The 16,719-nt window shown below is 39.0% G+C and overlaps 1 protein-coding gene across 4 annotated transcripts in view, besides 1 other annotated feature; it reads left to right on the forward strand.

The window, feature by feature from the left end:
- DCC (DCC netrin 1 receptor) overlaps positions 1-16,719 on the forward strand; it is a 1,195,703-nt gene that overhangs the window by 301,524 nt on the left and 877,460 nt on the right. The gene's annotated exons all lie outside the window — the stretch shown is intronic.
- Positions 2,734-2,903: an enhancer, noted in NCBI's record as "experimental_47967 CRE fragment used in MPRA reporter constructs". NCBI's record gives its function as "activates a minimal promoter by MPRAs in K562 erythroleukemia cells, with activity observed for both the introgressed and non-introgressed 18:50170909 variant alleles {active_cell/tissue: K562}" and the evidence as "EXISTENCE:reporter gene assay evidence [ECO:0000049][PMID:34662402]".

Consider the following 16,719-nt stretch of genomic DNA (forward strand, 5'->3'; position numbering starts at 1 on the left):
TGGTGGTGTGGATGTGGTGAACGGGAATACTTCTACACTGCTGGTGGGAATGTAAACTAGCACAGCCGCCATGGAAAACAGTGTGGAGGTTCCTTAAAGAACTAAAAGTAGAACTACCATTTGATCCAGCAATCCCACTACTGGGTATCTACCTAGAGGAAAAGAAGTCATGATTCGAAAAAGATACTTAAACATGCATGTTTATAGCAGCATACTTCACAATTGCAAAATCATGGAACCAACCCAAATGCCCATCCATCAACAAGTGGATAAAGAAACTGTGGTGTGTGTGTGTATATATATATATATATATATATATATATATACTGTGGTGTGTGTGTGTATATATATATATATATACACACACACACACACACTCACACACACATACACACATATACGATGGAATACTATGCAGCCATAAAAAGGAATGAATTAACAGCGTTTGCGGTGACCTGGATGAGATTGGAGACTATTATTTTAAGTGAAGTAACTCAGAAATGGAAAACCAAACATCATACGTTCTCACTCATATGTGCGAGCTAGGCTGTGAGGATGCAAAGGCATAAGAATGATGCAATGGGCTTTGGGGAATTCGGGGGAAGAGTGGGAGGGGGGCAAGGGATAGAAGACTAAAAATATGGTGCAGTGTATACTGCTCGGGTGATGGGTGTACCAAAATCTCACAAATCACCAGTAAAGAACTTACTCATGTAACCAAACACCACCTGTTCCCCAATAACCTATGGAAATAAAAATGTTGTTTTTAAAAATTAAACTTGCTCTGGGCAAAGACAATTGCTGTCTTAAGATTTTTTCCCCAAAACTAAAAACAATATGCTGTGTACAAATATGGCACTCAGGAAATATTTTTTGCTCATGATGTTCTTAATATTTTTTTTTACTTGAAAATGAAAAAAAAATCTTCAATTTTAATTTAATTTTTTTATTTTTATTTTTAGAGATAAAGTCTCACTCTGTTGCTCAGGCTGGAGTGCAATGGCACAATCATAGCTCACTGCAACCTTAATCTCCTGGGTTGAGGCAATCATCCCACCTCAGCCTCCCACCTAGTTGCGACTATGGGTTTGGGCCATCACACCCAGCTAGTTTTTCAATATTTTGTAGAGATGAGGTCTTGCTATGTTACCCAGTCTGGTCTTGAACTCCTGGTCTCAAGCCTTGGTCTCCCAAAGTGCTGGGATTACAGGCATGAGACGTTGCACCTAGCCCTAATAAGATTTTTGAGGAAGAGCTTTCCTTAAACTATTTTCCTTTGAGGAAAGTTAGATTGTTCAGTCAGAAATTGAAAATGGCCACCTATCCAAACCTCTCAAATTAGTGTGTTTTATAAATATCTGAAGGAAACTTTAATGCCAAGAGAAAAGAAGAATGTTCTATAGTTAAAAAGCTTCAAAAAAGGGAGAAAAATCAATGTCTCCAGACCATTTGACATAGTCTCAGTGTTTGGTTGTAATTTAAGAAAGATTGAATGCTTAAGTTCAGAAGGTTCAGACAAGAAGATTTTCTACCTGCCACATTTTCAAGCTGTTGACCTAGTTTCCACAGGTGTACTGGGATGCTTCATCACTGACCATCAGAAGGAAATTTTCATGGTTAAGTCAGAAAATACCATGCTTACATTCTCCCTGGTTCTTTGAGAAAAGATGGGTTGAAGAAATTAGGGAATATTTGGGAAATATGAAGTTGATGGTAATTGGCCATCCTTCGCAATGCTCATTAAAACCAGCCCACATGATTTTTGCTCTTCTAAAATTTTTCCTTTCCTCCTGAAACTATATTTTCTAAAATCCTACTCATCAGCTAATTATGGTCCCAAGCTCCCAATCCCCCTACAGAAAGAATGTCCACTGCTTAGGAACTGATTGGTTATTTGGAGATAGAAGAAAATAGGATTGAAAGGACCAGTCTGTGCCATGGCCCACATTCCACACTATTTTCTCCTTGTGAAGTTGAAACTGGATCTAACCATTTGGAAATTATTTACCTACCCTCTCTCCCATCAAGAGGGAGGCAGAAAAACAAATGGGGTCATGAGTGCCAAGAACTTGTAGGCAAAGAGGAGAAGAAGAAGCCCTCCTTGCCAGGATAAAATGACCAACATTTCCATCTTGTTTGTCCTGACAAGTATAGAGTACCTTACAACTTTTGGCCCTTGCTGTGCCAAAACAGAGAAAATAATGCAGAAGAAATTAATAGTCAAGAACAGTATTTTGGTTTTTTTTTTCTTCCTCTTCAAAAGTCTATGCTTTTTTGATCATATCAGAGGAAAGGAGTGAAGATGGAAGGAGTCCATATGAAATCCATATAAGGAATTAAGTCATAATGACATAGTGTATTGTGTGTTTCCCAGGAAGCCATTTGCTCAAGGATTTATTAGGATTTACTGTGTCTGTTTGGGCTGTGGTATGGGGAAAATGTGTTATACAGCCAAAACAGATGAGCATCACCAGACCCCCTTGGGCTGCATCAATATCAATTCCTGGAACTTGAATGTACAGTTAGAGGCAGTGAACTAGTTAAGTGGTCAAGCCCATTAAAAGTTAGTGTGTAGAGGCTGGGTGTGATGGCTCACGCCTGTAATCCCAGCATTCTGGGAGGCCAAGGCGGGTGGATCATGAGGTCAGGAGATCGAGACCATCCTGGCTAACACGGTGAAACCCCGTCTCTACTAAAAAATACAAAACATTAGCTGGGCCTGGTGGCAGGAGCCTGTAGTCCCAGCTACTAGGGAGGCTGAGGCAGGAGAATGGCATGAACCTGGGAGGCGGAGCTTGCGGTGAACCGAGATTGCGCCACCGTACTCCAGCCTGGGCGACAGAGTCAGACTCCGTCTCAAAAAAAAAAAAAAAAAATTAGTGTGTAGAGTCAGATGTGGTGGCTCCAGCCTATAATTCCAGTTAGTTGGGAGACTGAGGTGGGAGGATCACTTGAGCCCAAGAGTTTGAGGCTGCAGTGAGCTATCATTGTACCACTGTGTGACAGAGTGAGATCCCATTTAAGAAAGAAAGAGAGAAAGAGAGAAGGAAGAAAGGAAAGAAGGAAAGAAGGAAAGAAGGAAGGAAGGAAGGGAGGGAGGGAGGGAGGGAGGGAGGGAAGGAGGGAGGGAAGGAAGGAGAAAAAATAGAAAAACAATTTGCTTGAGGAAGTTGCTTGATAGACTACTCTAAAAAGTATATTCATTAGCATTGACCCCATATATAGCAGATTTGAGTAGGAGGCAGCTTTTTCTTTGAATACTGGTTTATCTCTTCTATTTAGGGAAGAAAAGGGGGAAGTGTGTTTTTGTTGCTGTTGTTTGTTCATTTGTTTTTGTAAGAAGCGGATTTCCCCATTGATTTTGCATTTACATTGAGTTTTCTTGAGACATTGTATTTGAGTTTTGCTTTCCATTGTATGTAGATGAGATCTGCCTTGATCAGCTTTTGAGTAAGATTCAAGTGGGCACTGGTGTGATGAAAAACAGAGTATTATAACCTTGAGTAGTTCATCGCAGCTAGTAAGACTGGAAAATGCAAATGGCTTAGATTACACCGAGAAAATTCACAATAGCTCTCAGCCTTAAAGAGAAATGGAAGGTTCTAAGGCAGTTAAATTTTATACTTTCATTGACATAAACCACCTAACTAGCTGTTCTGCTTTCATGCCAAATTTTGGCTCTCTAATATTTGTATTATGTAGAAGGGTACTGTAAAATCTTTTAGTTATCTCTCAAAAATGGCATGAGATAACTGGATATTATTACTAGATCTGAAAATTTTAAAAAACAGCAAAGATACAAACAAAAGAAATAGAAAGTCTTGGAGTAAAAGCTTGTCCTCAAGAGATAACATTTTTACCTGGCATCATTTCAAAGGAAGTGAAAGGAATATCCCAGGTGCATTGTGGACATCATAAAGAATAAAAACAAAAGCTCGTTGGTGTGAATTTAAAAATAAAAAAAAATTATTGACTTCTATCTTAAGTATACATCTACCATGCAGCCCGTTCAGATGTAGCAGAGAGTTTGGTGAGTTCTAGACATGGAATGAGCTCTAACAAGGAAAACTTACCTAAATTTATTAATCTTAGCTGAAATAGCAACACTTTTAAAATATGAAAGACTTGGCTGTATCAGACTTTTCTGTATCTTAATTAGTTTAAGAGCTTCAGCTTTCACAGGGGTGTTATTCTCAAAGCATTTGCATTTGGAGGTTAGGTGCTTACAATTTTGGAATTACTTTCAGATTTTTGCAAGCTACAAAGGAAAAAAGGAAAGCATTACTTTAGAGCCATGATTTTGCTTTAGTTTGCATGATGACATACTGGAGAGGAGGAAGGGGTTAGATTCAGACAGCTGTTGGGTTGATCTGCCAGGGACTAACTTGTCTGGCCTTTGGTGAGTTGCTGATCTCTCTGAGTCTCAGTTTCCTGACTGGGCACGGAGTAACCCTGCATGCATTGTTTTATCCCAAGACTGCAATAATAAATGCGCTTTCTAATCATCCTGAAGTCCCCTTTGAAGTTTTCAAGAAATTATAAGCTTAATTTCTACATTTTACATGTATGCATTTTGTAAAAACATGCTTACAAGAGAACATGCTTCTCTACTCCCAACACAATGTGTGGTGTTTTTTTCCCCACACCAAGTAATTCTCCAATTCTCTGTGGACACCAGTTGGGCATCCCACAATTCAATTCAATTCTGACACTAATACCTGGATTTAGCACAGATCCCACAGGGTAAGGGTTTGGTCCCACAAGACTGCCTGTTACTTCAGATGCTAAGTCCAGGCCCCCTGTACTTCTGATCACCCAGCTATCGATTGGGGGTTCCCACAACCCCTATCCTAGGTTCAATAATTTGCCAGCACTGCTCACAAAACTTAGGGAAAGATTTACTTATGTTTGCTGGTGTATGATAAAGAACATTATAAAAGATAAAGATGAATATTCAGATAAAGAGGTACATAGGACAGGGTCTGGAAGGATCCCAAGCACAGGAACTTCTGTTTCTGTGGAGAAGGGGTGCACCAGCCTCCAGTACATGGAGACATTCACTAACCAGGATGCTCATCAAACCTAGTTATTCAAAAGTAACTAAAGAGCTTAATCTCGAGCTCCCTCTCTTTTCCTGGAATCACTGGGTGGAGCTGAAAGTTCTAACCTTGTAATCACTTGGTCTTTTTGACGACCATCCTAAGTCTATTTAGGAGGCCCACTCCAAGACACTTCGATAGCATGAAATCAGGTGTGATGGAAAGGGGCTTATAATGAATAACAAAAGACAGTCCTTTCACTCAGGAAATTCCATGGGTTTTATGAGTTCTGTGCCAAGAACCAGGGACAAAGCCCAAATACATGTTCTTTAACACCACAGTGTTATTCTACATGTAGTCAATAGTAGAAACTCTCAGTATTGACCTTCTCATCTGAACATGCCAGACAGTAAAGGGGTTGTCATCCACGGTAAGGCCAGACACTGTTTTCTTCTTTACATTTCTGTCTCTTGGGAATGTTGACTTTGGTCCTCACTCCTTTAGGCTTATAGCTCTCAGCTGCACCTTTCCAGCCCTTTGCACTGGACTAACACTTCTGTGTATTGGGTTTTCCTTCCTCCTACCCAACTTGAAGCCTGATTACTTCTATTCAAAAACTACAGTATGGAGGACAGGTAGTCCTGTCTTGCCATCTGGTGATAATGGAGGCTCACTGGTGTTACTGATCTGACCTACTGCAGCAAGTTCAGGTTTTGCAGGCAGGCTCAATGGAGGAGAGGTAGACTGCACTGAAATCCTTTGAGTAAGTCTGGAATCCCATGCTAGGTGGGCCCCTTCCACTCCCATTCCATCATCAACACTTGCAACAGCCACTTGGAAACACCGTAGGTCTGGTTCAATTCGCTTAGTACTAAACTTTCTTCTGACCCATACAAAAATGCTAAAAATATAAACATCAATTAAAGACTCTCCTGTTTTTCAGGTGTTGTCAGTTCAGGGGGAAAGGTACTTCTTGATGATAAGACTTTGTAATGTTTTCTAAAGTAGTTTTAGTCACTAACTTATTCAGTGAAGACTGATCAAACTACTGCTACGTTCAAGGGATCTTGCTATGTATTAGCAGGGAATCTGGGGAGTAGAGTGTGTGCTGGGAAAAGGGGGAACACGGCAAACATGGCTTGTAAGAGCTAATAAATACAAGAAAAACTGGAATAAATGTTAGAAATCTGATAAAGAGAGAATTGATTTTGATGCAAAAGATTCTAAAAAAATGTTTATGGATGTGCTGGCCCTTAGGGCTGAATCTTGAATTATGAGTAGGAACGAGATGTTCAAAGGGAAGAGAAAAGCATTCCAGCTTAAGTGAAATATGTGAGAAGTTTAAAAGCAAGAACATCTGGGGTGTTACTTAGATATTGAGGAAGCTAGTGGTGTACTGGAACCAGCTCCTATCAGTTCACAAGACTTAACAGTGCACCTCTCTTCTGGCTTGGCATTCAGTGACAGCACTTTGGTAGCTTGAAAACAGACTTGGTGGAGTATTTACACCACAGAAATTGCCAAATACTGCAAATCAGGGCTTCCCCTCAACGTGAGAACCAGTTGTTAAACACAAGCACAGGCTTGGCTAGAGTGCCCTTTTCCTCAAAGAATCTCTTAGATAAGACTGTTCTTTCTGCCATTTATGAAATGGGCACACTTTGGTTTGGTTAGTATAGATGATTTGCAAAGTATCGCGTAACTATGTGTGGAAGCAGACCGAAAGCACATGTAAATATCATTCTGTAGGACTTCAATGCCAAAGAGCTTTGTGATTCTGTGTATGTAGCACAATTACAGGAGCCAGAGAAAAAGGACATCAGTCCTAAGACTGTTAGTGGCTGTGCCAAAATCTTTTCATCACAAGCGTCTTTTCACACACATGCACTTGAGACTAGATTGTGTGCCCAATCCGAGGTCTATTATTACTTTTACTAGAGTTGAGGGAAAGGGGATGAGAAATAAGAAAAAATAAACTTGAAAATTACAGCCTTAAGGGCAAAAATAAGGAAATTTTAAGAGAAAAAAATGTGTGAAGATTAACTTCAAGACCACAATAAAAGAAACACCTTGGGCTCTGAGGGCCCTTTATCATGCAATTTTGCCAGCGTTTCTAGGTTCAATATTCTGAAAAGGGTGGACGTTTCAGTGGTTGCTCTGGAAGCATTATTTTCTGATTCTGTATCTTTGCTAAGGGTTTCATATGCAATCCCCCTTCCCCCATGCAGAAAAATGCACATTTCTATTTCTACAACAAATATCCATGTACTTCTAGTGCATTAGAAATCTCCTTAAAATACGCAGAAGAACTGTAACTAAAGATTAACTTTATGGCCGGGCGCGGTGGCTCACGCCTGTAATCCCAGCATTTTGGGAGGCTGAGGCGGGTGGATCATGAGGTCAGGAGATCGAGACCATACTGGCTAACACGGTAAAACCCCGTCTCTACTAAAAATACAAAAAATTAGCCAGGCGTGGTGGCAGGCACCTGCAGTTTCAGCTACTTGGGAGGCTGAGGCAGGAGAATGGCGTGAACCCGGGAGGCGGAGCTTGCAGTGAGCCGAGATTGTGCCACTGCACTCCAGCTTGGGTGACAGAGTGAGATTCCGTATCAAAAAAAAAAAAAAAAAGATTAACTTTATTCCAGGTACTAGATTAATGAGATTATATCTTTTTTTTTATATGTGTAAATTTAAGGGGTATAAATGCAGTTTTGTTACATGGCTATCTTGTATAGTGGTGGCTTTTAGTGTATCCATCACCCAAATAATGTACATTGTACCCATTAGGTAATTTCTTATACCCACCCCCTCTCACCCTCCTGAGTCTCTGATGTCTATTATTACTCACATTATCCATGTGTACACATTATTTAGCTTCCACCTCTAAATGAGAAAATGTAGTATTGACTTTCTGAGTTGTTTCAATTACAATAATGTCCTCCAATTCTATCCATGTTGCCACAAAAAGACATGATTTCATTTTTTTATGACCAAATTGTATTCCAGTGAGTGACTTGAGGAAGAAAATGTGGTACACATATATTAATTTATGCAGTCATTCACTGATGGGCACTTAGGTTTATTCCATGTCTTTGCTACTGTGAAGAGTACTGCTTTAAACATATGAGTGCAGGGATCTTCTTTATATAATTCTTTCTTTTCCTTTAGGTAGACACCCAGCAGTGGGATTTCTGAATCAGATGATAGTTCTATTTTTTTTTTTTTTTTTTTTTTGAGATGGAGTATCGCTCTTGTTGCCCAGGCTGGAGTGCAATGGCACGATCTCGGCTCACCGCAACCTCTGCCTCCTGGGTTCAAGCAATTCTCCTGCCTCAGTCTCCGAAGTAGCTAGAATTACAGGAATGTACCACCACGCCTCGCTAATTTTTGTGTTTTGAGTAGAGATGGGGTTTCTCCATGTTGGTCAGGCAGGTCTCGAACTCCCGACCTCAGGTGATCTGCCTGCCTCAGCCTCCTACGGTACTGGGATTACAGGTGTGAGCCACCACACCCGGCCTCTATTTTTATTTCTTTAAGAATTTCTGTATACATAGAGTATGGAATAGGCACTGGAGACTCAGAAAGATGAGAGGATGAGATGAGAGTAAGGTATGAGAAATTACTTAATGGGTACAATGTACATTATTTGGGTGATGGTTACACTAAAAGCCCAGACTTTCCATATATGGAAAACAGTATGGAGATTCCATTTCCACCAACAGTGTATTAGCATGCCGTTTTTTCTGCATCCTTGCCAACCTCTGTTTTTTTTGTCTGTTTGTTTGTTTTGGTTTTGTTTGTTTGTTTGTTTGTTTTGTCTTTTTAGTAATAGCCATTCTGAGTGGTATAAGATGATATCTCATTGAAGGTTGATAAATAAACAGGTTGTCTGGTATATAGTTTTTATTTATTCAACAAAAATATATTTGAGAGCCTAGTGTGTGGCAGATGTTGATTTAAAAACTGAAAATACAATAGCAAACAGAGTTTTTCATGTAGCTGACATTCCTAGCAGAGACAAACAATAAACACATGTGACAGTGCCAGGGAGAAAGTACCATTGAACAGCAAAGTGACAAAATACTTGTTGTCTGTTTCATGTTTATGAAATAGAAGATATCTCTTATTCATTCAAACAAGAAATCTACTTTTTTATTTTGACTTTAAAAATACAAGAAGTACAAAGAACAATGTAACAGATACCAAAAGTCTTCCTACCCTAAATTATTAAAAGCATATTGCTTTCATTCTTTTTTTATGAAAAGAAAAAGCTAAAATCCCCATGGAAGATCATCACCTCCTACCTTTCCCTCCCTGACTTCAGGCAACCACTGTCAATAATTTTCTATACTTTTACATGTATGTATTTATTAGAAAGCTGTGCATTTTTAAAAATTTGTATTTATATATTTATTTTTTGAGAGTAGGTGTCGCTCTGTTGGCCAAGCTGGAGTGCAGTGGTACAAACATGGCTCACTGCAGCCTTGAGCTCTTGGGCTTAAGTGATGCTCCTCCCTCAGTCTCCTGAGTAGACCACAGACCTCAGTCTTCTGGTGCCACAGATGTGGGCCACCACACTTGGATTTCTAAAAAACAATTTTTGTAGAGATAGGGTCTCACCATGTTGCCCAGGCTAGTCTCAAACCCCTGGGCTCAAGCGATCCTCCTGCCTTGTCCTCCCAAAGTGCTGGAATTATAGATCTGAGCCACCACACTTAGCCTATGCATTTTTAAAATCTTTTTTTTTTTTTTTGCAGATGAGTAAATATTGCATTATTTTATTCTACTTCTTAAATGTATGTGTTTGAAGTCTACTCCTTTTTATCTATTGTGTAATATTGCATCATATTATATAGTATGTTATTAATCTACATCCTAAATAATAAAGCAAGTTTAAACAAAGTGAGTATATTTTTAAAATATTTAAGATGAATATATTCATTTCAACAGCATTCCACAAGTGCTTATGGGAATATCTTGTCACAGCCCCAGCCCTTAGGTGGCATGAACTACAGAGAGGAGTTAGCCTCAGTAATGGACTTTAAGGAGCAATATATATAAACACCAGCTACCATGTTACACAGGGCAGAAGGACTGATAAGAGGGGAAGAAATTAACTGGTTTAGAATTTGCAGAACATAAGTGGGAGGATATGTAAAGCCTTTCAAAGAAAGGAGTATAAAAAACAGTGCAGTAGGAAATTGGAAGAGAAAGCCACAGTATCAGCAAACCAGGTTGGAAAGTGCAACGCAACTTGAGGAAAGAGAAAGTTCCCATTGACTCAAGGAAAGAGACTTAGGCTACTTACAATTTGAAACTGCAGATGAGACAAGAACTAGGCGGTCTTGACACACCAGGCTTAGGCTTCTACCTAATCCATCAGTCAATGGAGAGTTTTTATCCCTGTAGTAATATGCTCGTTGCCCAAGGAAGAAAAGCCATCAAAGTAAGGGAGGAGGGAGCTGACAGCATCCACACTGAGGCACAGTGGAACATGCCCATGGGCACTTGGAGACTAGGTTGCTGTGTGCTGAGTGAGAACAGATTTCTGACCTCGTCAAAGATATACCTCTCGTCTCCCTCCAAGTGCAAAGAACAAAAATTTCAGCCACTCCCTGATCCTTTTCTTGCAAGAACCCAGCAAGAGTATTTTATTTCTATGGATTTTTTTTCAATACAGTCATTGGAATTCCTTCAATAACTTCAAGGAATCAAACGAGTCATGCTCTTTTTAAGACAAGGTCACAGAAAGTTGAGCATGACTCTAATAACATGGGACAGTAGAACAAAGAGGTTTCCGTGGCTCTGCCTGGATTTCACACGGGCCCATTGGAATGTTCAGTCTCAGTGTGCTTTGGCCTCCTGGCTATGGCTATCTTGTTCCTCTTTTATGTGCTCCCATTAGTGAGCGACAGGGAATCAGAGTACATTACAACAGGACTGCAATAAAGTGTGTGTGTGTGTGTGTGTGTGTGTGTGGGTGGAGGAGGAGTGGTTTGATTAGAGGATGGAGTAAATATTTGTGGTGGGAAAATCCTCATCAGTTTCTTTCTTGCCTTCATCAGGGGACTGGTTATGGGGACATAGGCAGAGGAGCTTTCGTGGGTCTGGAATACACAAGTATCCAGAGCTTTCCCCCACCAGGAGCTTGCTTAGGTTCTGAGGACACAGAGAATAACAAAACAGGAAAAGAATGATGCAGGGGAAAGGGTATATCAATTACTGTATTTCCTTACTTCTAAAGCACACTTTTTTCCCCATATTTTACTGTCTTTGAACATGGTAGTCACTGTTGGGCTGACAGAAGTTGTGACATAATTATCATTGCCTGCACAAAAGCACAAAACCTTGCTGATGGATTTCAGAGATTAGGAAGAAAATCCCAGATACAATAGGAAGTATTCTTTTAAAGGCATATTGTATCACAGACATTTTTGATGGCATGAAAGGTAAAATTATATGGGAAAACCACAGATATTTGTAACTCTGACTCAAAAAGTGACTAAAAGGAGTAAGAGTCTGAGTTTTAAAGATTAGAAATAATTCACTCATATTTTTGCTTATATTATCCTTTTTATGTATGACCAGGTGATATGTGATAGGAGATTTATGTTTTAAAAAGTCTAAGAGGCTTCTTTCCATAGCATAAACTAAAAATTCTATGTGGCAAGAAATAATTGCACCATGTTTGAATTATTGATCTTAGTAATCCATCTTAAATCAATGCTTTAAATATAATTACATCGATGAATAATTGCTACACAATCTGATAAATGCTATAATTGAGGTATGCACAAAGGACTGTGGAAGTGTTGAGCTTCTGAGAGTTCAAACTTTGCCAGAGGAGAGGACATAAAATCTAAGGAGTTTTAGCATGAGTAGGAGTTTTCTAGGTAGGAAAGAACATTCCAAACAAAGGTTGAAATTTTGACTTTCTGATCATTTAGTTTTTAACTTCTTTCCCCTCCGCCAGTTGTTCCAGGTCCTTCACCTCAACTCTTATTAGACAAAGGGTGCTGATTATTAATTTATGCCTCTCAGCCTAACACTAAAGATTCTAAGTAGCTTTGCTTCACTTTTGTTGCCCAGTGGACCATATGCAGTAGTGAGTTTTAATCTTCTTGCATCTTAATTCATCTCCTTTAAGGTTTAGAGCTCCAAGCCTTTGTATTTATTCTTTCTTGGTGATCAAATCTAAACTGCATTTTTAAAGAGATGCATTTATGTTACCATTTTTCCTAGCTTATTTATACAGGACTCCTCCTGCTAGATGAATTATTCCTTCATTTTATCAAAAGCTAAGGGAACACCCTTATTTGGAAACCTTAAAAGTAGTACCAGGTTGCACCATTAAGGTACCAAATTCCTCACATATTGCCAATAGAAAAGCACTTATTAATTCTTGCTAATGAAGCCCTTGATAGGTATTGTGGCCTGGAGAAACATACAGTTTGGTTATGGAGAAAATATCTAATTGCAAGAGCAGTAATGAAACACTACAGGTGGGAGGGTGGGGGGCTAATACAAGTGCTTAGCTTAGTGATCGCTGGAACCACTATAAGACCATTACCATTGAACAAGATAATTGCAGCACAGAAATGGGGAGGAAAGCATTCCCTTATACCTGTATTCATTTTCTAGGGCTGCTATAACAATACCACAGATTGGGTGGCTTAAACAACAGACATTTATTGTCTTACAGTTCTGGAGGCTGACATCCAACTCAAGGTATCAGCAGGTTTAGTTTCTTCTGAGGCCTCTCTTTGGCTTATGGATGGCTACCTTCCTCACAGGGCCTTTTTGTGTGTTCATATCTGTGTGTCCAAATTTTCTCTTCTTCTAAAGACACTGGAAAGATTGGATTAAGGCTCACCCAAAAAAGTTAAGGGCTTTGCTTTAACTTAATCACAACTTTAAAGACCTTATATCCTAGGTACTGGGGGTTAGGACTTCAGTATATGGATTTTGGTGGGGGGATATACAACTAAAGCTTTAACATACCCCCTCTTCCCTGTAGGGTTAAATTTGGAAACTGAGTTGCAGGAGACCCCAAGCTTGAAATCCAGGCATGATAGTTCCTTCAATAACTTGAAAATGCTCCATGTTTCTTCAAAATTAAGGACCTCTCTCTTCTACCTGCTTCACTCAACTGCTTTTATTGTTTATCTACTGTTGCTATAAGCATAAACCACCCAGCTTTAAATCCTCTGTGCATTACTACAAAAATAAATTTGCCCATGCTGAATTGTGGAACTGAAGTGTTTCCAAAGGTGAATGTACCAAAGTGGATGGTTGAAACTGCACCTTTTTACATTAACCCATTAATCACCTTCACCTTTAAACAGTCATTCTGCCTTTATTTATGTATTTTTTTTTAAGAGAGAAGAGGGGAACAACATAGACCCAGCACAGTAAATTAAAGTTCATTCAAGCACAGTTGTTGTTGATGAACAACGCAGTTCTGCTTGGTTGAAACAAGACACAAGGGGCTTGTTAAGCCTACTAAGTCACAGGTGAACATTGAGGGTCAGGCAGTCTTAAGAGAAGGTGAAACCTTTCTTATTTAATACTTTGACAAATTAATAATCGAGCCATAGAGTTTCTTACTTTCATTGAAAATGGCGGTCTCTAAGTGTAATCTTTGAAACAAAAAGAGATTAAGTCTTTTTGTGCCTGGCACTTGTGACCTTGGACAAATGGACAAATAGCTTCTGCAGCTAATTAATTCAAGAATTTAATTCAGTGTCTTCTCTGAGCCATGGAAGGAATGATATGGATATTGTTTTACTTTGCCTATTACTGAAAACCTTCAAGATAGAAAAATGCCCATTTTTATTTAATGTGGTGTTGAAAATGGCCTATAAAATCCACTTTTTATATGCAGATTAAATAAGTAATGATATTTTAAAGGACATAGGCAGTTGTATTACAAATAAAAGCCATAAAATTTTTCTCCAATAGAAGCATAATAAAATTATCTAGATTCTACCTTGGAGGAAAATTTAAAAAATAGTTAATCCATTAAAAACAAACAAACAAGACACAAATTTCTTCAAGAGGTTACCATAATGTGCTTTTACTTGGTTAGTTAGATGCCAATACAGTTAGACTGTATTCCTGAGATCCCTTGGATAGCTAATGAATTGCCAATGCTCAGCAGACATCCCCCCGCCTGCCCTCTCCATTAAATATATATGTGTGTGTGTGTGTGTGTGTGTGTGTGTGTATATATATATGTGCGTATATATATATGTGTGTATATATATGTATATATGTGTGTATATATATGTATATATGTGTATATATATGTGTATATATATGTGTGTGTGTGTATATATATATACATATATATAACATATATATGTATATATATAGTGTGTATTGATGCTATGGTCTAAATGTTTGTGTTCCACCAAAATTCATATGTCGAAATCCTAACCCCCAAAGTGATGGTGTTAGGAGATGGGACCTTTGAGATATGATTAGTTCACTGTGGGCACAGTCTTCATGAATATGATTCGTGCCCTTATAGCAGAGACCTCAGAGACCTCCCTCACTTCTCCAGCCATGTGACATCACAATGAATACATGACTATCTATGAACTGGAAAATGGGCCCTCACCAGACATTCAATCCGCCACCACCTTGAACTTGGACTTCCCAGCTTCCAAACTGTAGGAAATAAATTTTTGTTGTTTATAAGCCACTCAGTCTATGGTATCTTGTTATAACCCAAATGGACTAAGACAATTGATAAATATATGTGAATAGATTGCATTCTACTTACATGTTGCCCATCACATATTATGTGACATGTGAAGAAAAAGAGAAGTGGGAAGTGGTATCCCATGCTACGCTCTAACTTGGCCAACAGTGAGACTTGCCACAGTGCTAGGCTCAAGGGACATGCTTGGTGAAATCTTTTGGGTAAGATCATAGTGTAGAGCACTCCAGGGCCTTGACTTTAATGGTCTGTTGTTTTCTTTTTTTGTTTGTTTGTTTTTAATTCTTGTTTTCAATTATAAGCACTACCATTAACTCCATGGGTTTCCCAGGAAGACTGTATCTGAGAGTGGCATTCTAAATACAAATATATCCTTACTGCTAGAAAAAAAAGTCAAAACATATGTCCCCACCCAGATGGGTCAGAAATGTCGCCTTCAGATCTCTTGGACAGCATGCTGTCCTATTGTGACTCTTTTCTGGGGAGCTTCATTGAGAAACTCTTTATTCTATGTCCATCATGTTTAGAGAAGGGGAAATGTGATAACATTAGAGTTTATTATTTTCCCTTATGTAGTGATAGAGACACTGCAATATACAAGATTAAAGTGAGTGACCCAGTATTGTGCGGCAAGATTGAGTCTGTGCTGAGACAAAAACCAAGCTGTTCTCTAAGCTCCGCACTTGATTCACTGAGCCACACTATCTCTGTGATGTTCCCCATAGTGTGTGTGAAGCAAGTGCCAAATGCAGTTTCTCAGTCTGCACGAATGCTCCAATTGGCTGCATCTCTTCCCCTCCTGGCTGCTTTTGGTAGAGGATTGCTGATGGAAATTGTGCTGCTGAGCTTCGCCACATGGCTGTGGCTACATTTCGCCAGTGTTAGCTGGAAGAATTTCCCGGGATTCTAAACTAGAAAGAATTTGCTGAGGGGCCCCTTAGGAGAGGGTCAAGGTTTCCTAAGTGCAGGTGATCACTGTATTATATTAATAGTCGAGATTTTATTTTAACCAGCAGGGCTCCAGCCATTCTTGTGGATCCCTGCAATGTGGTTGAAGTGATGTTAAGTTTTCTCTCACTGCAGTCTGCCTGTCTGCTTCAAACAGATCTGATTCACTTAGGGCCAAGTTTCAGGGTGTTAAAGACAGCTGGGTTGGTGTACATGGCACTGAGAAGCCAAGAGATGCACGTCCTAATCCCATGTTGTCTGGAGAGAGACTGCACCATAATTATATGTCTATACACCTATTTCTGCATGGGACTGTGAAAACCTCATGGATGGGGAGAGTATTTTCTCCCTCTTTTTCCTTAGTGCTAGCATTTTACTAGGCTCATAAATATTATGTTTGATAAATTAGATTATATTGGCTATAATCCTCTACATATCACTTAACCTCTCTGGATCTCAACTTTCATGGTAAAAGTGATACAGATGAACCGCGTTAATCACCACACTTCCAGTGTTATCATCTCATAATTCTACACTTTTGATTCTCTTTGCCTGGAGGAGTTTCTGGTTTTGTTCTTAGCTAATTAAGAGCCAGACCTAGATATTCCTCCCACTTAGTTGTTTTATAAGGAGGAGTGCAAACTCGCTCACCATTGACTTCCTATGTTTATGACACGATTAGTTTGATTTTGGATTATCTATCACAAATGAAGGGAAAGCTGAGTAATTTTTAATGTCACAAAACATATTTATGGGTGAGGTGGGGAGTGTTAATCCAGTTGAGACACCAGTTATATGTTCAGCCAACTGCAAGACCTCTCTGATAGGTAGAAAACATGACAAATTTCATTCCTAGCATTTTGATTTGATTTCTGATTAATTCTCAAAACATCCAAATCATAAAAGTCATTGGTTTATTTTTTAAAATAAATGATCAAATAGCCAAATTTTTATATACAGGTCTTTTTTATTTTTACATAAAACTTTTAATCTAAATAACCCTGGG

This window comes from Homo sapiens, chromosome 18 (genome assembly GCF_000001405.40).
Source record: "Homo sapiens chromosome 18, GRCh38.p14 Primary Assembly".
NCBI lineage: Eukaryota > Metazoa > Chordata > Mammalia > Primates > Hominidae > Homo > Homo sapiens.